Source organism: Homo sapiens, chromosome 7, assembly GCF_000001405.40.
Source record: "Homo sapiens chromosome 7, GRCh38.p14 Primary Assembly".
Taxonomy (NCBI): Eukaryota; Metazoa; Chordata; class Mammalia; order Primates; family Hominidae; genus Homo; species Homo sapiens.
The window spans coordinates 29,185,847-29,210,372 of record NC_000007.14 but is presented as its reverse complement, the minus strand read 5'-3'; the positions used below and the strand labels follow the sequence as shown (position 1 = coordinate 29,210,372).

At 42.8% G+C, this 24,526-nt stretch overlaps 2 protein-coding genes and 1 long non-coding RNA gene across 25 annotated transcripts in view, besides 2 other annotated features; 2 read left to right on the top strand and 1 right to left on the bottom strand.

The window, feature by feature from the left end:
- Nucleotides 1-24,526, bottom strand: part of CHN2 (chimerin 2) — a 367,738-nt gene that overhangs the window by 303,956 nt on the left and 39,256 nt on the right. For 5 of the 9 annotated variants that reach the window (XM_017011722.2, XM_011515107.3, NM_001293070.2 and 2 more), the window contains exon 1: nucleotides 15,383-15,598. The exons of 3 other annotated variants lie outside the window; for them this stretch is intronic. In XM_017011722.2, coding sequence (XP_016867211.1) covers nucleotides 15,383-15,431 — 49 coding nt within the window. In that variant the 5' untranslated portion in view covers nucleotides 15,432-15,598. Of the gene's footprint in view, nucleotides 1-12,389; nucleotides 12,633-15,382; nucleotides 15,599-24,526 lie in introns of those variants that run through there. One more of the 9 variants, NM_001293072.2, reaches the window with a different exon arrangement.
- Nucleotides 1,403-11,333, top strand: CHN2-AS1 (CHN2 antisense RNA 1). Its single transcript, NR_120522.1, has 3 exons — nucleotides 1,403-1,560; nucleotides 9,626-9,681; nucleotides 10,250-11,333. It is a non-coding gene; the product is annotated as a CHN2 antisense RNA 1 (long non-coding RNA).
- Nucleotides 14,310-14,945: an enhancer, noted in NCBI's record as "H3K4me1 hESC enhancer chr7:29235044-29235679 (GRCh37/hg19 assembly coordinates)". NCBI's record gives its function as "activates a minimal SCP1, AML or CMV promoter by ChIP-STARR-seq in naive H9 embryonic stem cells {active_cell/tissue: H9 hESC(naive)}" and the evidence as "EXISTENCE:reporter gene assay evidence [ECO:0000049][PMID:30033119]".
- Nucleotides 14,922-24,526, top strand: part of CPVL (carboxypeptidase vitellogenic like) — a 200,816-nt gene continuing 191,211 nt past the window's right edge. For 5 of the 15 annotated variants that reach the window (NM_001371261.1, NM_001371264.1, NM_001371260.1 and 2 more), the window contains exons 1-2: nucleotides 15,106-15,296; nucleotides 23,826-23,926. The gene's annotated coding sequence lies outside the window, so the exon portion shown is untranslated. Of the gene's footprint in view, nucleotides 15,297-20,315; nucleotides 20,505-23,825; nucleotides 23,927-24,526 lie in introns of those variants that run through there. The other 10 variants (NM_001371268.1, NM_001371258.1, NM_001371256.1 and 7 more) reach the window with 3 other exon arrangements.
- Nucleotides 20,407-20,556: an enhancer, noted in NCBI's record as "active region_25801". NCBI's record gives its function as "activates an Ori minimal core promoter by ATAC-STARR-seq in GM12878 lymphoblastoid cells {active_cell/tissue: GM12878}" and the evidence as "EXISTENCE:reporter gene assay evidence [ECO:0000049][PMID:35858748]".

Sequence of the window (24,526 nt, the reverse complement as noted above, 5' to 3'; positions counted from 1 at the left end):
CCAAAAGGCTTGTATGATACCGCCTTGGAGCATACTTGGACTACCTCTGGGCTTACTAAGAGTGAAGACTGAAAAGCAATTACGGTACAGACACCCAACAGTCCTCATGTCTTACAGGCTGGGTGCCTGGAACAAATGATGCCACTGGTAATTGCTATTTGAAATATGTGTATATGTGAGTGTAACTGATTTACACACAAGAGGGTTGTTCCCTTGGGGGACCACCAAGGCACCATAAATTGGCAAGAGGAAACAGGCAGATCAGAAAAATCATAAAATTTTAAGACCCTCAGAGATGATCTGGGCCAAACTAATAATTCTACACATAAGCATCAAAGTCACAAAATGATAACATAATTTGCCCCTGGACACACAAAAAGTAAATGCTGAGAAAGAACTACCATAGACTTAGGTCACGTGACCCCTCATCCAGTGATCTTTACGCACCCTGGCCCATCACAAAACTGAAAAACAGGAATCTGCTCTCCAAAACCCTCTGCCTGTTCCCTTTTCCTTGGGAATAACCTGAAATTATTTCTCCAATTAGGCACCAATACATTTATTCCACTGGACTTGACCGTTTGTAGGAATCTCTGTTTTAAAAACAAAGAACTGCTAATGATCACTATTTCTCATAAATGAAAGCCTTAAAAATTCCCTCCCATAGCAAGCGGCAGTGGGCTGAATCATCTACTATTATTCCCTGCCTTTCTAATAATATAGTTCCAACTTACATCAGGCGCAGGGATGTTAAAGCCTGTCAAGAATCAAAACCTTCAACCCTCACTGTCCTACTTCTCATTAGAGCTAAAGACTCTATCCAGTTTTAAATTAATGGATTTATATTTTTTTCATAACCATAAAACAAAGTGCTTCAAACCATAAAGCACTAACAAGTGAAAACAACATATGAGTTGTCAGTCATCTTAATGTAGTAGGTTAGCAGAACATTTTTTTCAGGGAGTGATATTATTACTAAGTGAATAGTTGCACTAATTGCTTGGCTCTCAACTAAGACTATAATAAGCTTTTTGACTATGAGAGGCCATGCGTCTTGGAATTCTCAGTGTTTTGTTGGTGGCCTTAGAGACTCTAAGGGCTGAGGACATTCATGACATAATTGTGGCGGATGTTCTTGGTTCCCTCTTCCCCCTTAACAGAACCCTGTTCCGTTCAGGCCTCCTCACCCCTTCAGGAGAGGCTGGACCATCTGCACTCCAGGAAGGGGGTCACAACTGGACTAAGTACATCCAGGGAATCCTATTCCCTTGCCAGTGATTGGTTCACACCTAAGCATATGACAAAGCTGTAGCCAATGAGGCAAGGGGAACTTTGCTGGGGGGTGGGGGTGGGGCAGGTGTGTCTGAGAAAGTCTTTTTTATCTTCCACAGGGTGAGGAGGAAGAGATTTCCCCTTCTCTGTTTCAGATATGATCCCAGGGGACTGCTATTGTCATCTTGACCCTGTAAAGACAGTGAGGCTGAGGACAAGGCCCCCCGACCAAGAGGGCAGCGCTAAGAGAAGGAGACAGAGCCAGATACTGCAGTGTCTACAACCACGGTACCTCAGCACTTTGTTTTAGAGTTTTCTGTATTTGCGGTGAAACGTCCTAATCCTTACAATAATTGCATCCTGGAATGGTCTGGTCAGGATGTGAGGAGGTGTGAATGTGTTATATGTGTTGGTGTTAGCATGAGAAAAGTTTGAGTGAACAGCAGGTCCCAGGAACAGTGAGTCTTTTGTTAGAGATGGCTTAGCCCGTGACATTAGAAAGCAGGAGGAGCAAAGTCTAAAATCTGATATGTCAGGGGAACCGCAGAGGCCAGCGCAAGGCACAATATCATCCCCACGTGTGCTGCTGTCATAGGGTGCCCAGGGTGGCCAGATTTCACCTGAGGGAAGACACAGAACAACAGAGTCACTGTAGCCCGTGCCCACTTCCTCTAGGGGTTGCCAGGAAAACACTCTGAATGAGACCTTAAGGAAGAAGTTCTAGTACTTGCTTTGTCTTCACACTCCCGTGAAGGGGCATTTATTTGTATTTTGTGGGGGTGCCTGTCTCAGGTGTCCTATGGGAAAAAGGAGGAAAGGCCATGAACAACTTGAAGGGGAGCCAGCCATCCTATACATTCACGCAGGCCATTGGATACTGAAGCCTGCCCAAAAAGTGGCTACCCAGGGACTCAGTTCCCCAAAGACGTCTGTCTTTAGCTTCATTAATTCCATGACAGGGCCAATCTTCCTCCAATTAACAGAAAGTTTATCTACCTAGAGGAGTCTCTATACTTGGGAGGAAGAAGAGGACTTTTGCAACAACCTGGCACTCAAAACCAGCAAGTATTAAAAAATGTTCATTGACTAGGTTCCTTACAGTGAACAATACATGGTTCTAGAAAATTTACTATTTATAATCACTCATATTTTCCATGTGATCTGATCAAATGCATTTTTTCTTTACTTGTGTGGGGTAAAAGTAAATACTGTCAGAACCTCTGTGACAGCTACAAGCGTGTAAAATTTAAGTCTTTCTAACAAAGTCTTTGTAGTACAATACCGTGATCTGTTGTGATCAAAGGGTGTCGGTTCTTTGATTAGAAACAACAAAAGAGCCAGCAGATGATATCCTTGGAAACGTCTGTACAAGCATCCATCTAAGTGGGGGCATATGGAGGCAGCCACAGACACATCACTGTGCGAATAATACTCAGGAGCATCAGGCACACAGTAGAGAAACTTGCTTCCTGGATGACTCACACTCTACTTCGAGGCCATAGAGTTGTGGCCAGAGTTTAAAAAGCTGGATAAAAAGCTAATTAACTAGTCATAAGAAATGCACTAATTGCTTTGTCCAGCATTAGCAGAGGGGACCTACTGCTCTCCCTCATTCTTCAGTGAGAAGGAGGGTGCCATGGCCTTTTGGGGATACTGGGGAAGGGAGGCATTTATCTAGTGGAGGCTGAACTAACCAGCCCTAGAGAGCAAGTCTCTATGGAACTATCTGAGAAGGTCAGGGGCTGGCTGCAGAAAAAGATGAATGTGGAAATGAAAAGGGGAAGAGAAGGGGCACCCCCATGTATTGAGCAAGTTATCAGTGAGTAGGGATTGAAATGCCTCCCATCTGATTGCAAGCATCCTGTCCAGGAAGGCCTTAACCTATGGGTTTGTATTTTCTGTTTGCTCACGTTATGACTGATTCACCTTCTCTTTCTTACAATATCAATTTCTATGCTTTCTTAAAGTAATGGCTTTATTGAGCTATAAATCGCACACCCTACAATTTACCTGTTTAAAAGCAAACAATTCAATGACTTTTAGTTTATTCACAGATATGTGTAACTATTAAGTATTACCACAATCAAATTTAGAACAATTTCGTTACCACAAAAAGAACTCATACCTATTAGCAGTCACTCCCCATTTCACTCCAAACCTCTCAGCCGCAGGGGACAACTCATCTACTTTCTGTCTCTAGGATTTGCCTATCTTGAGTGTTCCATATGCGTGGAATCATATAGTATGCAGTCTTTCACTTCTTTCACTTAACATACTGTTTTCCAGGCTCATCCCTGGTGTAGCATGTATACAGCATCGCTTTTTGAGAATCTCCCTGTGGCTCTCCATGTTGAACTCTAGCTTTACTACTTATGTTTCTTCAGTGTTCACTATTCACTCCTGAAATGTGCTTGTGAACCACAAATCAAGGTAAAAAGTCCTGATTCAGATAAATTCATGTGATTCTGCTCAGAGTCTCCTGTTGCAAGTACATGCAAATAAGTTAAAAAAAAAATTTCTAGGCCAGGCGCGGTGGCTCACACTTGTAATCCCAGCACTCTGGGAGGCCGATGCAGGTGGATCACGAGGTCAGGAGTTTGAGACCAGCCTGGCCAACATGGTGAAACCTTGTCTCTACTAAAAATACAAAAATTAGCTGGGTGTGGTGGCACGCACCTGTAATCCCAGCTACTCAGGAGGCTGAGGCAGGAGAAATCCTTGAACCCAGGAAGCGCAGGGTGCAGTGAGCTAAGATCATGCCACTGCACTCCAGCCTGGGCGATAGAGTTTTTTCCATCTTGGGGGAAAAAAATTTTTTTCTAAAAGTTACTGAAGGCCTGTGACTAATGTGAACTGGTGACAGGGTCCTTGCAGAACTGATTTACAAACAAGAGATAAAGGAGGGAAGGGGCTACAGTTGCACTCCTATGACAGTAACTGAGTGCTTGTATATGTCAGACACTGTGCTAGGCACTGGAGATCCAGCAGTGAACAAAACAAAAATAGCTGCCCTTGTGAAGCCGGTATTTTAGTGATACATGATAAAATTATTTTAAAAAGAAAAGCAAGGGAATAAGGTGAAAATTCAGAGTAGTGGTTACCTTTGGAAGGAGGGAATGAAATATGATGGGGAAGGAAAGAGAGAGGAATACAGAGGAAGACACAAGGCTAGGTAATGTTCCTAAATTGGGTGGTGGCTTTCCTAATAATTATGTGGCTACGCTATTACTGATTTTTTTTGTATATATTGCATCTTACGTAAAATGTGTATAATTTTTTTTTACATAATAAAGAACCATTCCTCTAGATGGGAAAGTATAAACAGTGGTGTTCCTTGGATTGACTGAGCTAATTTAAAATGTTGGGACTGCAGGATGCATATTGGAGCTTTACATAGAGTAGAGAAACTCTAAGTTGGCACGATTACACTCCAAGGATTTGAAAGGCTGATGAAGAAAAGCAAGGTAAGGTATTTAGGAGAAACTTTTCCAGTTACCTTAGAAGATCACGAGTTCTGAGTGGTCACTTACCACTCAGGAAAGGAACCTGTGGTGCATCTTATTAGAATATGAGCTTTATGAGATCAGGGATTTTTAGGTTTTGTTCACAAATTTTCAAGTTTTTTCACAGCCATTCACACATTCGATTCTAACAACTAGTATTATTAGCCCATTTTACGGATAAGAAAATAGAAACTCTGAGAGCTATTTGGTGCTGGTGTTTGGACCAGATCCCCAGCTTCCTAGAGCTTATAACACAACGCCACCCTTGGACTGTGTGGTTCCAATGAACCCACATTAATTCATGAAACCCAAAAATGGATGCTAAAAATAAGTTTCAGAGAGTTAAATTTAAAGCAATAGGAAGAAACACCAATTCGCTCTATAGGTAGAAAATGGCTGAAACTCATTCCTGTAAGAAGGAGCACAAGCTGAAACTACAGATGGATTCAGACATGTTTACATTAACTCCTGAATGACAGATTTACACTCAGCTATTTATGAAAAGTAAGATGTCTGCAGGGCATTTCCTCCCTGAAAGGCTGTTGTGCATTTTTACAAAATACCCTTACTGCTATTACTTTAGAATGCGGAACCAAATAAGTACTGTGGCAATTACTATGTTCTTAACCCAGATGACATCGTTTAACTCAAAATCATGTCTTACATGTGTAATTGCCTAGGATTTGCTGTGATTCTATTTCTAATCTTAATCTGATATTAATTATTTCAGGAGAGTTTACAAAGCTTCTGTCAATTGCTTTTTCCACTGAAGAATTCATATTCCGAAAAAAGGCATGTGGATTAGTTTGGCTGCTTAAAGCAAGCATAGGACTCGGGCTCTCCTGAGACCAAAGTTCAACCCTAGGGCATATTAACATCACAGAGAACAAAAACTTCTGTGCCCTGGTCACCGGGAGTACCTTCAACCCTAGGCATTGATCATGAGGCAGATCCAGAGAGGATATTTGGCTAGAGCTAACCAGGACCCCAACCAGAAATTAACAACTCAAAGGGTACCTACTGAAAGAGAATAGTGCTCTCTGTGTATATGAAAATCAGCAAAAATAGTATTATTTACCAAATAAGTATGGTTTACTGGATCTCACTGTCTCTGAGGACAAGCACTGTAAAACAAAATGGTTATTTTTTTGTAATAAAGAGAATTTGAATGAGCAACTTAAATCAATATTAGGCAGCCAAATTATGTGTATTAATATCTACATATCATTAGCATAATCCCAAGTGAATTATTTCATTACTAAAAGTAATGCTAGAACTGACTTTTCATTTCCCTTGATATTAACTTATATACGATATAAATTTGACTGGAAATAATTGGAACCTAATCCACTTCCACTTTCTGTGTATACATATATACACACACATACAGAAATACAGATATGTGTGGATGTGTATGTAAACCCACATACTTATCCATGGCAGGACATCACGGTACAAAGGCTATGAGGCAAGAGTTTTCTACACACACACACACACACACACACACACACACACACACACACACACACAGAGAGAGAGAAAAACGTGTGCTTTGTTTCCTCAGCTTCTCTTTCCAACTTCATAGCATTGCAGGCTTTCTTTGGAAGGAGGCGTATACATAAATCTAACAAAAATACATGAAGTCTAGAATTAAACTGAAGCCCAAACAAAACAAAACACAAAATCTGTCTAAACAAGAATGTGACAAATGTCCCAACCTGTTCCTCTTTATAGAACTTCACTTGAAAGTCACTATAAAGATTCAGAAAAATTAAGGACATCTCTCAATGTCTGGGACTAAAACCAAACAGGGACCTGAGAATCAGGGCTGAGTTGCCTTGGTAAGTTTCTGCCTTGGTGAATGGAGGATAAGTAGACAGGGCTACAGGAGCCACTGAGCAGTGCATCAGCAGGTTTTGTATGGCAGATTCTGCGATCAAGGTTAGAACATTCTCACTGGAGTCATCCAGACCACAGCTGTCCAATACAAATATAATGTAAGCCACGCATGTAACTTCAAATATTCTAGTAGTTACCTTAAACACATTTTTAAAAAACAGGTAAAATTAATTTTGTAAATATATTATATTTAGCTTAATAGATCCTTTTTTTTTTTTTTTTTTTTTTTTTGAGACGGAGTTTCACTCATGTTGCCCAGGCTGGAATGCAATGGCGCAATCTCTGCTCACTACAACCTCTTTCTCCCGGATTCAAGCGATTCTTGTGCCTCAGCCTCCTGAATAGCTGGGATTACAGGTATGCGCCACCATGCCCAGCTACTTTTTGTATTTTTAGTAGAGACCAGGTTTCACCATGATGGTCAGGCTGATCTCAAACTCCTGACCTCAGGTGATCCACCCGCCTTGGCCTCCCAAAGTGCTGGGATTACAGGCGTGAGCCACCGTGCCAGGCCTAGATCCAAAATATTATCACCTAAACATATATTCAATATTTCAAAGGTTATGAGTCAGATATTTTATATTTTTTGGCTTTGTACTAAGCGTTTGAACTCTAGTGTGAATTTTACACTTGTAGCACATCTCAATTCAGACTAGCCATGTTTCAACGGCTCAGTAACCACATGTGGCTGTCACACTGGACTGTGCAGGTCTAGGTCTTGAGAATCAGGCCCTTAGAGGTCAATGGCACACCCCAGCCTCTGACACATGCTGCAGGAGATCTACTGCAACAGCCACGCTCCCTGCTTCCCATTTCTTTGCTGTCCCAACAGTCTCTTGGGCTTATTTCATGGAAGCAACATCATGTAAGAAAAAGCATTTCACATTGCTAATATGGCATTATGTGAAGTAATAAGGAAGCGCTAGGTTTCACTTCCTTGAAAAGGACAATACCCAGCCAGTACTGAGGGTGCAGAGGGCAATGATGGGGCCCGATAAAATCCAGGAACTGGGCCTCCGATGAGAAAAGAATTGCATAAGGTTATCACCCAAGTGCTTCTGTGATTCATATTGCCCTAAATCAATGATCTAAGTTATGTCAATAAATAATAAGCCACCATGTCACAGTCTTTTGGTTATTATAGTTTCTGAATCCAATGGCCTCAACATTCACCTCTTTCTTGACAGTTAACTTGACACTTTAAAGACACCTTCCACCTTCCCATTTTGTTGCACTTGAGGATGGTAACAGAAGTTCAAGGAGAACTGTTTCCTTTTCTTAGAAACTGTCATATTCCTGCATCTTATTTGCATGCATTTCCCCCCAATTAAATGTGCTGAAAATTCCAAAAGCTAACTTTATTTTCTAAAAACCAATGCATTTGCTTTGCCCTGATGTGGGCTTTTTGTAGAAGTAAAAATCCTTCTAGCTAGCTGCTGATGGCCAGGTTGGTAGAAAATCTCTTTTAAATAACACGGCTTGTATATGCCACTAGCAACCTCAGTCCACACATTCACAGTTTTCCTTACGATGTCTTTAAAGGAGATTCAATGGTAAGATCCAAACTTTTTGAACATGGGCACTTTTTCCTCTTTGAGGGTGAAATCAGAACTCACTGTGGGTTTATTTGAAAAAGAAATTGAGTTGCCATTAGGGAAACAACAAACCACTTTTTAAATAAAGCTTGAATCATACCTCAGGACTACAGAGTTTATAAACATTTTCAATTACCCTCCCCAATATCATCCTCCAGCTGTCATTCCACAGTTTCCCTCGGGGTCATAAAGAAATTACTTTTTTAAAAAGTCAATTTGCAAAATTAGTAAAAGATAACCTAAACAGCACAAGCAGCACACACAGCAATGGGAGCGCTCTGGATCAGATTTTCTCTTTTTAGCTTGTTGATTTTACATTAGTTTTGTCTCTGTCTTAGAGAATTTCCTGTAAAAAATGATAAAAATGTTTTGTGTCTGTGTAGTCCAATATGGTAGCCACTGGCCATGTGTGCTATTGAGCACTAGAAAGATGCCTAGGGTAACTGAGGAACTGAATATTTTTACACTTAAATTTAAATAGCCACATGTGACTAATGGTTACCATACTGGACAACACAGCTATACACAGGGCAGACCTAAGCCACTTAAATCTTTGTGCCTTTATGGGTACAACAGCCTGGAGATCTGAGGCCCATTTAAAATATAAAGCGCTTTATGACTTCTTTTTTGAAAGTATTAAGTAATTAAATAGAGCAGCCTCTATGAGGCCAGAGAGAAAAAAAAAAAAGTCTACAAGAAATTCTCTAAGGATGATGCTACTCTTTAGGATGAGCCAGGAAGTGGGTGGGGGGAGCATTAATGTCACAGGAGCTTGGGTCCTAGATGACAGTTCCAGCTCTAGCTCTGCTGTCAAGTAACTGAGTGGCATGAGACAGTTTCTGAGTTCCTTGGGCTCTGATTTTCTTATACAATGTTGGAATCTGTGAAACAACTACCAAGGTTCCTCCTTGCTCTCAGTCTAGTCAGTCCAGCTCTTATTTCTTAGGAGATTAAAACTACTGGTTGATTTAAAATAATACTTTACACTGCAGTACAAACAGGCTGAGGTTGAGTGATTTTGACAGGCCAAACTGTTGAAGCAAAGGAATGCTAAAATTAGTCCAAACTATAGAGACTATATTCAGATTAGTCTCACAAAGGTGTACAATTAATTATAAATGAGGAGAAAGGCAGGGTATTTGCACAAACAGCTAGTGGCTGGCCCTCCCAGAATGCACAGCTGAAAGGTTAGTGGCCAGTTGATGATACACTCATCCCAATTCTTCAGCTTCAGGCCCCAGAGGACAGCCACCTAGGTTCCATTGCAGAGCACCCTACCTATAGGGCCGGCCCATCTCTGACTGCCGTTTCCTCTAGCCATGGAGACTTTAAATGAACCTCTGCATTTGTTTGTAGCTTGGAGACACATCATTGTGTTCTGTCACACCAACCAGCCTGCACCAGAGACACAGGTATCCATCTTGACCCCCTAACCTGAATCCATGTGAGAGACAGAATACCAGCTTCCTTCCCCATGGGCCAAAGGGAAGGAAAAGCAGGAAGGTGCCTAGAGGATTTGCAAACTACGAACAGTAAAGAAAACCAAATGTGGGATTGATGAAAACATCTCTAAATAGAAATCTGACCAACAACAGATGAGAGAAGAAAAAGAGACAAAAGGGGGGGGGAAGGGGGGAGGGGGGAAGGGGCGAAGGGAGGGAAGGAAGGAAGGAAAGAAGGAAGGAAGGAAAGAAGGAAGGAAGGAGAAGAAGGTGGATAGAGGGAGGGAGGAGGGAAGGTAGGGAGGGAAGAAAAGAGGGAGGGGGAGGGGAAGAATGGAGAAAGGAAGGAAAGAAGAGAGGGAAGGAGGGGGAAAAAGCCATTTTGTTTTGAAAATTAAATGACATATTTCAGAAGCCATGAAATGAGAATACATACATTCATAAAAGATAAATGATTGGTGGGTGATAGGGGATGCTATTAATCATATGTCTGTCTATCACTAGGTTCATGTCTTTTTCTCTGTGTTTGCCTTGACAGGAATCTTGATCTTCTGGCAGAAAACTCTTCCAAAACATTCCTATGTGACACTGCTCATGTATAGGTGCTCCAAACCAAATGTCCAGTTGCTTCCACCATTGTGCAAAAATGGGAGACCCTGCCGAGCAGCAGATGGCCCTCAGCACGGCTGACACTCAGGCCAGGCCCCAGGTGGCAGCTCTCAGAACACACTGTCCAGCTAAACCCTGCACAGACTGGCCGTTGAAAATACCTGGTGTTCACATTCCCCAAAAGTTGGGCAAATGACAGGGTCACCCAGTGCACTTCATGGGGTCAGTGGGGAGAACCAGCATTTCAGCACAAGTTCACAAATCACTGGGTCCCCCTTGTCAAACACTGCAAATATGTAGCATGCTAAGAAAAATCTCCTTACCTCTCAGACTCTGTATCACTCAGTTCATCTGAGTTGCTACAATGGACAATAAAATCTAATAAGTTAAAATGAGGTATGGAATGCTCAGGAGAAAAACAACAAGGACTAGTACTCCTCATCTGAGTAAATAATTTCTCTCACAGGGTTAATTTTAGCTTTGCAAGTTTTTTATTTGAGATTATATTTTAAATCACAATTTGTGCACGTGTGATTTAAAATAAAAAAGGCAATCAAGTCTTTCTGCCAGTCTAGGTGATGTGAAATTTAATTATCGAGCAGTTATCATTAAAATAAACGCAAAGCAATTTTTTAGACATAATTGAATATTCCAGAAGAAAATTTCTGAAAAATCCAAAGGTCCAAAAGAAAACTTCTCAGTGAGAATGTCTGTTTCAGTAAGATACCCTGTTTTGTAGTATTGGATGCAGAGAATTTCTAGTTAGACATACATAAGTCTTGCCAGAATTACTATAGTTCAGTTTTGCCACCTGCATCTAGAAATATGGAAGACTTATCTACGTTACTGGTTTTGACTCCCCAATAATGAGTAATGAAAATTCCTATTTATCATTTCTACATCAACATCAGTGTGATAGCAGAAAACAGCATGATTTACCTGGCCCACAATACTGTTGTATAGAATTTAAAGAAATAAATACCTCAATCCATTCAGGAATGTTCTTTTCCCAATTAAGGTTTTGAAGACTGCACCTAATACTGACTTGTTATCTTTTTCTGTTTGCATTTTAATTTTAAAAGTCTGTGTCAACTTTATTTTGATAATACAGTGGGTTTACGTTTCCAAATCTTAACTTCTTATCCCCAGGGTTCCTTTAATATTTAATGTTTTACCCTTTTCAGTTACTGAGAACATCTCATATCTTCTTTATTTATTGATTTGCTTGGGTTGATTTTTTTCTTGACTGTGAAATTATCCATTTGGCAATCATATTGCTAATATGCAAAAAGTTCTTATTTTAATTATACAAGCAAATGTAACCCATGATTATTAAGAAGACTATTTTGCAAATTGGCCGTTGTTTATCTCAGAATATAACCAAGAACCACAGGCTAAATTAGAAGCTTAAGGATAAGAACTTTTTTTTATTTTTGCAATTTAAAATAATAAAGGTAATCAAAGCTTCCTGCCAATCTAGGTGATTGTGAAATTTAATTACCAGTAGTTATTAAAACAAAGGTAAAGCAATTTCTTTTACACATAATTGAATATTCCAGAAGAAAATTCATGAAGAGTTCTCAGAAAATGTATTTTTAAATTAATTGTAACCTGATTATTTCATTTGTTATGTCTCAGTTGGTACCATAGAATAAATGACACATTTGGGCGATGTAGTTTAACAGCAGCTAGTGAGAGCAAATTCTCAGGAAAATCAGGCAACTTTGACCTTAATGCTGAGCAAATTATTAGATCTTTACTCTGCAAACACAAACATACCTAAATCTCCCGCAGCTATTCCTCTATGAGAGGTATAACCCATGTTGACTTCACCTCTGTCTATGCTGGATGCTACAGAATTAACTGTTCCTTTTTCACTGCTCAATTGCCCAAATGTCCTACGGCTTCCAGAGCTGTTCCATCAAACCCACTGCTACCTGAACAGAAAGAAAACCTCCTACATCAGCAGCAGCAATGAGTGAGCTGGCAGCTCTGTGCATGATGCTGCTTATGGGCCTGTAAGCATAACTTTCCCAAGAAAGAAAGTCAAAATAATGCCATGAACTTACCCATCTCCAGGCCTTTACCTAAGCTCTTCTCTCTTCCTGAAATGTCTTTTTCTCCATTTGTTTTCCGGAAAAATTCTACTCAGCTTTCAAGGCCCAACTCATATGACATTTCCACTGACCCCTCTAATTTGACTAAGTCAATTCCTCTCCTCTGCACCCTTCTCCACAGAATTTGTTTTATCAAACTGGAATAGAGGTTGCTGTTTGCATGTTTGTCTCGGCTGCTGGAGGATAAGGGAAAAGGATCTTGACTCATCTTTCCATGCCAAACACTCAGGGCTATGCCTGAAACCTGGAAAACACTCGCGTGCTTATTTAATGAAGCCCAAAATTCAAGATCAAATTTAACGTGTGATGAAAGAAGTGGATTGTGTGTTGGATTCATGTCTCCACCTAAATTCTGAGCCCGTGAATGCCTTCTTTTTCATTCCTCAAAGAAGTAAAATTTATTCACATTAAGCATTTATTAAATGCTAGGCCCTGTGCTAAATACTCCACACACATTATTTCATTCAATCCCCAAGACACTCTACCAAGTAGGTCTTATCATCAGTATCAGCCTCATTTACAAAAGAGGAAATTGAGGCTTGGAGAAGTTAAGTAACTCACTCCAAGATACCCAGCTGGTCGGTGATGAAGCCAGAATTAAAAGACAATACTCCCAGAACTTCAGAGCTAGAGGGAATCCTACAATTATCTTTCCCCCTTAGCCTTCTTGAAGCTGAGGTTTATAACTTACTGCCTGGCACATAGTAGGCCCTTGAAAATAGTGATTAATACATTGACGGAGTGCCCTAATTTCTCAGATTCTGGCCTTCCCCTGAGAGAGCCCAGCTGCCACCACAAATAGACTCTATTCTTTCTGCCCAACACCTCTCACAGGTGTGAATTGCTTGTGTCATCTGAATTATTCATGATCCACACAATGGTAAGTGTGCTTTAAAAGAGAACTACAATGCTGTATTTTTCAAGACAAAGTGCCTGATTAATTGGGGAATTAGGCAGTATAAACTCATGGGCTAGGCTGATTCATGCCAAACAATACATCCATGCCCACTTTTTGAATTTCAGTTTTCACATAATTTCCCATTTTCCCTTAGGATTAAAAATAGGGGTAAATAAAGCAGGAAAAAGAACTATCATGGGCATCTCTAACCTATCTGAAAGCAATTACCATCATCTAAATCTCATACTGTGTTGTTTCAAACCAACGTATTCTTCCGAAGGCTGACTTAGGATTTTCAATCAGGTTTCTTAAGCTACATCAAGATCTGGAAATTCAGATGCCACAGCAGCTGTAATTCATGCCACCAGTAAATCATGTGACACCACCAGCTCCTTGTCCTTTCTCCTTTCGTCTTTTCTTTTGCCCCACCAGTTCATTTTCTAGTGGGCAGTTTTCTGAGAGGGATAACCATATGCTAATAGAAAGCCAACACCACTGTATTTTAAATTCAATGTTAGTCAACCAAAATGAATTGAAAAACAGCAGCAGTGGTTTGAGGGTACTAAAAATAAACTGTAGCATTTGCTGAGTTCTCAGAATTAAAACCACGGCGGTCAACTTGTTGCTGCTCTTAATAAGATATGACTTCTGCCCCATTGGCTGCCACTACTAGAAACTTGAACTATATCACACACCTAACAACAACGTGTTTTCAATTAGTTGGCAGTGATCGAGAAAGGAAGTGCCATTTCCCAGGAAGTAAATCTGCCAAGAAAGATAACAGATGGCTTTCAAGTGATCACCTTGTGCCACATCACAATTGCACCTTAGTCAAATTCACCTTGCATTTATGATTTAGTGAGTTACACATCTAAAGCTGTGGTTGCCTTTTTGCCCTGCTTGCTATCCAATGCCTCCAAAAAGGTGTTTCTTCCTTTGAGTTTAATTCGCGAATAATAATAAAAACAGCCCAATGGGACTTAATACAATATTAATATATTGAAGCACTTCCATTAGGACTTCATGACCTTCTTGACCCTTAAATACTGTATACTACCCTAAATGTCTTATCAGCTATCCCTTTGGGTTTGTCATTAAAGTTTTCAATGACCAGAGAGGTACAGGAATTCTACCTAATGCATCATTCTGATTAGAAACCTGTCATACTCAGAAACCAGTGGGTCTGCCTCTATTGATTCCTACTCCTTCAGATTCATTAGCAATTTTTTTCTCTTCAATTAGACCCGATGATCAACCATAGAAAAGCTGAAAGAAGCCTTCCCTTTGCTCAACCATTCTTAAAAGGAAAAAAAATGCATGCCTTGCTAGTGAAATTACAGCCACTATTATCAGAAAATCTCTAAGGAGTCTCTCTCTCTCTCTCTCTCACACACACACACACACACACTCTCTCTCTCTCTCTCTCTCTCTCTCTCTCTCTCGTAAATGTGCCAAGAGTCAGAGGATGGGCTCGACCTCTCTTCCCCTAACCCACTTCAATCAGGATCAGAAAGATACATCCCTTCATTGCTGCTGTCTAAAACCCATGCCCAAGCGAGTGTCTCCATAGAGCTAATTTCTGAAACAAACAAAGAAAATCAAGTCTGCGAGGAGCGAGGGTTTGCTCCCCTCTGCTCCGGATTTGGGTGTCCAGGGTAGCGGGCGCGGCACGGCAAACAGGTCGGGGCGCTCTGCTTCACCCCAACCTTCTCCGCCCCGCCAGCCCCCGCTCCAGCTGCGCCAGAAAGTGCGAGCCTGCCCGCTCCTTTCGCTTTTCGCTCGCTGCACTCCAAGCCCCGGAACACCCGCGTCCGCACACTAAGGGCACCACCGCTCTCCCACCTCTGCGCTGTCAGATGTCAGGCGCGGAGGTGCTCTGGGCACCGAGGTGCTGGCGAACCAAACAAGTATCACCCCGGACGCCTGCCCCCATTCCGAGAGAGCGGGCGGGATGGCCACAGGTAGGCTCTGTCCATCCCAGGCTGCGGGGCGAGGGCAGTGGGGCGAGACCCGGCGCGGCAGCAGCGCCCGACGGGCTGAAACTCACCGGAGGACACCGACGAGCCGGACAGGCTGGAGTTGCTGGACGCTGCCATCTCCGCGCGCCCCTCGCGTCGCTGCTCGCTCAGCCCCGGTGCGGACGCCGCCGCCGCTGCCCTCGCCCGGCCGCTCGCAGCCTCCGCGGCCCCCAGCCCATGGCAAAGTCCTGGGGACGCGCAGAAAGCACCAGCCTCCGGACTCTGCCTGCACTTCCTGCTCCACCAGATGACGCGCTGCCGCCGCCGCTATTTATTTGTGGTTTCCGTCCCGCTCCGCGCCTTTGCACGCTTTTCTATGGGTGTCAGGGGGTAGGTGGGAGCAGAGGGAGGCCGAGGGGCAGCCGGGACGGGCGGATCTCGGCTCCCGCCGAGCCCCTCTGCCGTCCACGCTCCCCTGTGCGCGGCTGGGACCAGGGCGTCCTGGCAGCTCCGAGCCGCCCCGCCAGCTCCCGCACCCTCTCCTGGGCTCCCGCCTCTCCCGCCGCACTTCGAGTAGACCGGGCAGAGGCGGCGGGAGACGGACAGACAGAGCGACCTCCCCCTTCTCCCTCCGCCCCAACTCCGCTCGCGCACACACAAAGGAAGAAGAGGAGACGCGGTCGCTCGGGGGGTGGTTCGGCTGCTGCGGGCTTGACAGCTCCCGCCACTGGGGCTGGAGGGGGAGGCTGCGGACTGCTGGACAGGGGGAGGCGGGACGGGGGACCGGGTCCCCGGGGTGCTGGGGAGGCCGGGGCCGGGCGCGGGGCGAGCGCGGCTGCTGCGCGCAGCGCTGCTCCTAGGATTTGAAGGGGATGGGGAGGGAGGGTGTGGGGGAAGGTGGTGGGGCTCACCGCGCCCCGCCGGGCTCTCGAGCAGCGAGACAGTGGGGGTGGGGGATCCAGAGGGCGAAGGCGGGATCACTAGGGCCACGGTGCTAGGCAGAAGGGAACCTGGGATGACAGAGCCACTATGGAGCGCTCCTTCCACTCCTCTCCAAATTGTCCTTTGTTGCTCTGGAGCTGACGGTCCCTGCCCTGCAAGAAGGTGCGTTTCCTAAAACACCCGGGAAGCCAACCCAGCTACACTTAAGTAACCCAGCCACGGACAGTGCCCGACGCGTCCGTGGGCCTCTGAGGTTGGCCTTCAAAGAAATAGAGCCGTCCAAACGTGTCATCAGGCCCACACAAAGCTGGTGTCAAAGAGAAAGAGGTTCTCCGTGCCTTGCAAAAAAAGATTCTCACAAAAGACTTAAGACTTGGCAGCAGGTCCGACTGTGCCCTTTCAGGATAGGAACTGCTCAGGTGTGTGAGAGAAAGAGACTCGAGCACAAGGTGTGTCCCTTCCCCCTGTATTTAAACCTAAATTAATTTCACTGGGAGGAAATACCATGCAGATTTTTTTTAAGTCTGTTTCACGCTCCCAGCGGGCTAATCGGTTCTTTCAATCCTAAAGCAACAGAAAACTGTGAAATTTGAAGAGAAATTGTTAGATCAAAGGAAAAAGCAAACATTAAAGGAATGAAAGTACTCTCATTATATAGCAAAAATGGAAAGTGTTCACATTGGGGTAGTTCAACTTTTTAAAACATGGTTAAAAGAACATAGTCAATTTAAAAATTATCAGGAGTGACACAGAACAGCAGCTAGGCCCTGGGGATCCACATCAACCAAGGACCTAACATACAGTGAATAATGAATGTTAAATAATCACAGTACGCACCCACGTCACATTTTCTAGTTGATTAGAACTTAAAAAAAAAAATCCCTCCAGGATACTATCCCAGTGTGTCTTCTCATTAAGGTCCATTTTTTAAAAATACACCTTGCTAAACTGTTAAAGGAGTGTGAGCACTCTTCAGTCACGTGGGACTGCGTCTTCCTACCCCTCAACTGTATGGACCTTGAAACAGCCCTGGCTGGTCTAAGGAGACCCAAGCGCCCGCATTTTCCCAGCCCCTACCACTATCCTTCATTTTGTGGACTGCACGAAATGATGCAGTTCCTAATCTGGAGCCTTCAGGGACACGTGACCCATCACACACTTGGCTTGTTGATCAGATCAGAAGGAACTTACTGTTTCCCCAGAGTTCTTCTGATAGAAAACAGCACTTACTTGTTTGACTAGTAATCTATGTAGCCCCCCAGATCTTTAGATGGTGGACTATCTGACTTGGCTATGTCGCCCGGTAGAATTTTACCATCTGGGCTTCGAAGACAACTGGGTTCAAACTCTGGTTCTGTCACTTAGCTGCGAACTTGAGCAAATTACTTAGACCTACTGAGCCTCAGTTTCTACACCTGCCACAAAAATCTGATAACACAGGATGCTGTGAAGATTAAATAAGATGCTATGTGGAAAGCTACAGTGTACCTGGCATGAAGTTTGTGTTCCAAAGTGATTGTAAGTTGCTCACTTTAAGGAAGGAATGTATAGTTTGAAAAATTTTTGCTTTCTTCATTGCATCTGGAGATAACTAATCAACTGTGACCTGTTCTACTAGGGGGAAATGTCTTATCTTCAATCTATGGCTTATATTTCTTGTCCCAAATTGTGCAATAGGGTAACAGGTTTCATTATTCATCTCTGAAATTTCACAAAAGGACAACAGATTATGTTTCTGCAGTTCGGATACTCATATTTCCCTTCATAGTGTTTTAACTGGAGAAAGTAAAGCATGGCTCTGTGAGGCAGATTATTTTTATTGTCCTAAATTGACAGATGAAGGGACGGGGGTATTTGCTGTGAAGGCACCACCTGAAGGCCCTGTGCTGTACAGAAGTAGAAAAAAGCTGAGACTCATGTTTTCCTGGATCCTGGGGCCAGAAGAGGAATACAAGGCCAACAAACACGCTTGCTGAACAGAGAAGTGCTGATGGGGGAGGCCCAGTCTGTCGGTGTGATATGAGCTATAACTTTGACACCCATTATTTTGAATACCAAACAGAAAGCTCCAGGTTCAGAACTAAAATCTGAAAGTTGATTGATCATCTGGATTGATAAAGCCATAACCAATGCAGAAAACTCAACATGAATAATCATTCACTATCATCCTTCTTAGATTCAGGAGCCTGAAGGCTGGCTGCTCCTTGCAAAAATGTTTAGTATCAGTAAGTTATCAGGACATGCTGGAAATAAAATGCTAACATCCCTCTTTGGTAGGCTCAGGGACCTGTTTGTGGACCTTCTAAAGTATTTCTCCAAATGAAACAATGAAAAAGTTATCATCTATTTTATTCATTTATGTGTTGCCTTAATTCTAGGTAATACCTATTTGCCAGTGGAAAGAATATTGGTGCTACAGAAATCTTAATTGTTTGGAAAGTAGAATTTTAAAAGACATTTCTGCCTTTTTTCTTCAAATATTAAAAGACTTATGGGATAAACGGAGTCTTGTGGATAATGTGGGCTTCTTAAGAATAAAAATTATCATTTTGTTTTAACTTAGCTTTCACCTGGCATTCAAAGCCTTCCAAACTTACCTTTCCAATCTAATCTCTGTTCCCCCCTTTCACAAAGGCAACCCTCTTTCATGGTGGCCTATGCCCTTGGGGCTAGCAGCACTGGATTCTGCCATTCCTTCCTGCTTCCCATCCTACATACCAAAAGGGTTCAACCAGAATGCACCTTCTCTGGAAAGTTTTCCCTGATTCCCAAGGCAGAAAATAACTCTTCTTCTGTTGGATTTCTCTAGTCCATCTACTGTACCTCTCAATGGGCAGATCTCATGCTCTGTCTTATTTTAATGGTACTTTTGGTATATATTTCATTACCTTAGTCCATTAATAGCGGGCTTGGCCTGGTGGCTCATGCCTATAATCCCAGTGACTCAGTAAGTTGAGGTGGGAGGATCCCTTGAGGCCAGGAGTTTGAGACCATCCTGAGCAACATGAGGCCTCATCTCTAAAAACATAAAAAATAAATTAGCCAGGCGTTGTAGTTAACCTGTAGTCCTAGCTACTTGGGAGGCTGAGGGGGGAGAATTGCTTGAGTCCAGAAGTTCAAGGATGCAGTGAGCTCTGTTGATGCCACTGCACCCCAGCCTGGGAGACAGAGTGAGGCCCTGTCTCAGGGAAAAAAAAAAAAGCATGGTGGGGGCAGGATCCTTGTTTGCCCAGCCCCTGTATTGTCTACCATACTTTGCATACAATAGGTGCTCAGTGGATGTTGTTCAATTGTTTACTCATTGAGTAAATGAGCAAATTAAGGACATCTGTAAATGGTTCTCTTGTATGCCAGTTCCTTTCCACGTTAGTAGCTGTGACCACTGAGCTACAAGACAATGAGTAACAACACATCTGCAGCAAAAGAAAGAACTTGACGGTCATGTAAGGATACTACCTTTGCTGTGATCAAAAAAGACTGAAACGGTGAAACATAAGAATAAAATCTTGATGGAGTAAATATTTGCAATCCCCACCCCACCCTCCTTCACCGGCTGTTACAATTCACATGATTTATTGTTTGCAGGGTAGCTCTTATGGTGGTGTAATTTGTTTATTTTGTTTCACCATTCTTTTGAAGTTTAAAAGCAGACAAGAAAGCACTGCAGGGTGAACGTGGCTGTCATAGCAGGAGCTGTGCTCCCTCACTGCAGGCATTCTGGAGTGTTTTTTAGTGAAGGTCATTCCCTTTCCCTGTGCTAAACACAGAATGAAATACTGTATTCCTTACTTTCAAGATTAATCCAGTGGTGGGCATTCACAGGAGAATAGCAGGGCTATTCGTCAACTAGCTTTAAATATTTTATGGCAAGTACTCTACCGTACCCTGAAAGTGGTCCTTTTGCCATCAATTTCTCAACATCAAAATGCTCTTTTGCTGTAGTGAGAAATATTTCGCTCTGTAGTTTAAGCCTTATTTCAAATACAAAGACACCTAGTCCTGAGAAAGAGAACGCATTGGCTCTTCTGAGGCAGGCGTCACTAGGGGCAGGAGCTGAGAAACCCGCTGTTTCCTCAGGAGGTGCACAGACGGCCCAGGATGGGTTAATGAGCAGGCAGCTCAGACGCCGCAGGTAGCGGCCCTGCCTCTGAACAAAGAGGAGTCCACACCTGGGGTGCAGACAAAGGGAGGCCGCCTCTGCTACCCAATTCCCAGTTCACATCGCCTGCTGCTGGGGACCCCTAGTGGCGGCACACGACGCAGGCACAGGTATTCCTGCATCGTCTTTCTCACTGAGCTGCAGGGGGGCTTGGGGGTATTGCCTGGAGTATCCTATTTGGCCACTTAGCTTGGGCGGATCAGATCGGCACATGCAGGCACTTAAGGCATGCCATCCGCTGCAGTCTCTTTGACTGGAAAGACAGAGAGGGAGAAGGGGAGTGTAGGGGGTGGGGGGCCGAGAGAGAGAGAGTTTTTCTTTCTGTTTGAAGAGAAAAACAGGATAGCATTCAGAAACTCATTGAATATGTTTTCTTCTGCATGTTGCACCTTCTGGCTTTGTTCCCTGACACTTCAGGTTACAAACATCTTTTCTGTCTTCAATGTCCTAAGAGAAATCTAGGATAAACTAAAGTGAAGCCAGCTGTAAGCCTGCTCTGGGCAAAAGCAGGGAGTGAGTTTGTTTTTCGTGTCTTCTGCGGGGGTTCCTATGGCTTTATGCTCTTTTTCTATGAAAATTTGCTTTCATAACGATATCCAATATATTCATTCTCTACTACCTGTTCATTTATTCAAGCATTCATTAATTCACTCAGTCATGTTGACTAAACACTCATTATGTGCCAGGGAGTATACGAGGCCTGGGGAATAAAGATATGAGGGAAACTGGCTGGGCGCGGTGGCTCACACCTGTAATCCCAGCCCTTTGGGAGGCTGAGGTTGGGCAGATCATTTGAGGTCAGGAGTTCGAGACCAGCCTGGCCAACATGGTGAAACCCCGTCTCTACTAAAAATATAAAAATTAGCCAGGCGTGATGGTGTGCGCCTGTAATGTCAGCTACTCGGGAGGCTGAGACAGGAGAATTGCTTGAACCCAGGAGGCAGAGGTTGCAGTGAGCTGAGATTGTGCCACTGTACTCCAGCTTGGGCGACAGAGCAAGAGATTCTGTCTCAAAAAAAAAAAAAAAAAAGGTATGAGGAAAACTATATCCTTGCTGTGGGGGATCCTACAAAACAACCTTGACTCCTTCCTGTGACATTTACATTTCAACTGGGACAAATTTTTAAAATAGCTATAGAAATGATTTCTGTTTGGGAATTATAGCTATTATCCATGCCGGTGACGACTTTCTTTTCAGCAGTTTTGTTGTTGTTGTTGTTTTTAACAAAACGTCCAAAATCAAGCCTCAAAGACTATTTCTAGACAGCTGGCATTTTCTTATCCACAGTTTTAGCTTGTCAGCCCAGGGAACCGAGCAGATCCTGTACTCTGAATGTCCTCTGCCTTCACTCCCCAAGAAAATCTGAATCAATATTTTCATTTCTTTCCCTGTAGCAGCTATACGTTCAATAACAAAACAGAAATCCTCTTTTTTTTAAAAAAAAAATAAAAAAAGGAGAGTAAATGGGCATTGAAGGAAAGCTAACAGACACAATATCTGAGCCAATCTTCTGATACAGAAAACATATTTTGGCCTTTTACAAATATTCCAGATTGTCTGTAAAACAAAGCATGAGAAAATGATTCTAGGAAAGTTTAATATGTATTTATGGAGTCAAAAAGACCTGGGCTTCACTCCTAGCTTGTCATTTATTAGCTGTGTGACCCTGAGCAAATTATTTAATCTTATATTCTTGGTCTCTAAAATGGGTTAATAATCCCTATTTACAGACTTTGTGATGATGGAATGAAGTGATAGATGTAATATAGTGTCTAAAGCATAAAAGTCCAGTTAGGAACTCTAGGTGGCCTCTGTTCCTTAGAGCAAAGTATAGCGTGCTCACATCTGCTTTTCTGGAGTAATCTGTGAGAATTAAAGTCTGATGCAAAAGTAATTTTCATCTCTCCCTACCACCCCCCTGTTACATCACCTCTATGCGAGTATATTAAGACATAGGAGCCAGGCCTGGGCTTTGAAGATAAATCTGAGTTCAAATCCTAATTTAGCTACAGATACTTTGGTGATCTTGGACAAATAACCTTTCACATTCACAGTCTCCTCATCAGGTAAAATGGAGATAATAATATACCTCATATTTATGTAAATGAATGTATGCCCAACAATAATGTTATTAGCACTCAATTATATTCTGCACGGCAGGTAGTTTTTAACTGTGTATTAATTCCTGGGGAGAGAGTGGATGTTGACAATACATCAGGATCTTTTTTTATTTTTTATTTTTATTTTTTGAGAGGGAGTCTTGCTCTTGTTGCCCAGGCTGGAGTGCAATGGTGCAATCTCGGCTCATTGCAACCTCTGCCTCCCTGGTTCAAGCGATTCTCCTGCCTCAGCCTCCCGAGTAGCTGGGATTACAGGTGGGATTACACCACAACACCCAGCTAATTTTTGTATTTTTAGTAGAGACGGGGTTTCTCCATGTTGGCTAGGCTGGTCTCAAACTCCTGACCTCAGGTGATCCGCCCACCTCGGCCTCCCAAAGTGCTGGGATTACAGGCGTGAGCCACCGTGCCTGGCCATACATCAGAATCTTTAGGAAGTGGCATGTATAATATAACAGAGTACACTCAAGTGCTCTCTGTCTCTCTCTTTGTCACACACACACACACACACAGACACACAAACACACACACCACTAGATGATAATGTCTTACATCTGGACATTTCCCCACCCAGTCCCATTGGGTGAGAAACCTGGTGGAATTTCAAAGTAGATTTCAATAAAAGTATAGACAGATTACTTAAGCTCTCTGCCAAATTTGGCCCCTATAAGATAAAGGAGTGGAAACCAACATTTGATGACCACTACTACTGCTCCAGGTATTATGACCACTCTCACCATGCTTTCTGCCATTAGTGATATAGAAAAGTCACTCTCCTTAAGTAATCATTTCCTATGTGCCAGGATCATGCTAAACACTTTGTATACATTGTCATATACCCATAACAATCCTGAAGTGAGAATTGTTATCCTCATTTTCCATTTGGGGAAACTGAGGCTAGAAAACTTATATAATATCTTAATTAAAATGCTCAACAACTCCAGCTGTAGATATTATCATCCCTGCTCTTTTTGGTTAAGAAAACAAAAAATTAGGGTAAGTAATTTATCAAGGTTACAGGCATTAATTTGAACCCACCTTTGGCTGATTCATTCCAATACACACTAAAAAAAAAATTACCCTTTAGTTTTTACTTGAAATTTCAGCCTGCTGTTATGGTAAGTATTTTCCTGTTTGAGACTTTAGTCAGTTGAGAAGTCTTTAAAATACATGTTCTTTGCTTGAATACTCATGTTTTTATTTTTATTTTTCCTTCCTTCTCTCCCTCTCCCTCCCTCCCTTCCTGCCTCTCTTCCTTCCTTCCTCCCTTTCTTTCTTTCCTTTCCTTTCCTTTCATCTCTGTCACGCAGGCTGCAATACAGTGACACGATCACAGCTCACTGCTACAGCCTCTACCTCCTGGGCTTAATCCATCCTCCCTCCTCAGCCTCCCAAGCAGCTGGGACTACAGGCACGTGGCTGCTTTTTAAAATTTTTAGTGGAGACAGGGTTTTGCAATGTTGTCCAGGCTTGTCTCAGACTCCTGGGCCCAGGTAATCTATCCACCCTGGCCTCCCAAAGTGCTGGTACAGGCGTGAGCCAACACGCATGGCCTACTTATGTTTTTCAATTTGAACCTATGATGATACTGTCATTTTTTTTTTGCCTAAAACATAAACTTTGGGGCAGGCCAGGCTCTGGGGAACTCATAGGACTTGTACTCCTGACCCCAAGGGCCCTGGCAAGGACAGGCACAGTATAGGAAGACTAAGAAGTCATTTGCCTGAGTGCAGGAATTTCAAGGGATCAAAATTATTCCCTAATCAAAAACTCCATCCTGTTCAACTTCCAGTTGCTCAGAGTTCCATAGTTAGAACTTTTACTTCTTAAACTTACTCAAACAATACAGTGAGCATCTGCCATAATTTGATCACCTCTGGGGAACTGAAGGAATTAAATAACGATTTTCACATGGGCGAGTTTCCCTATCCCTAAAAGCTAAATTTAATTGCAAGGAGGGACCAACACATAGGACAGGGCTGTGCAACCTTTAATATATCTACATATTGGT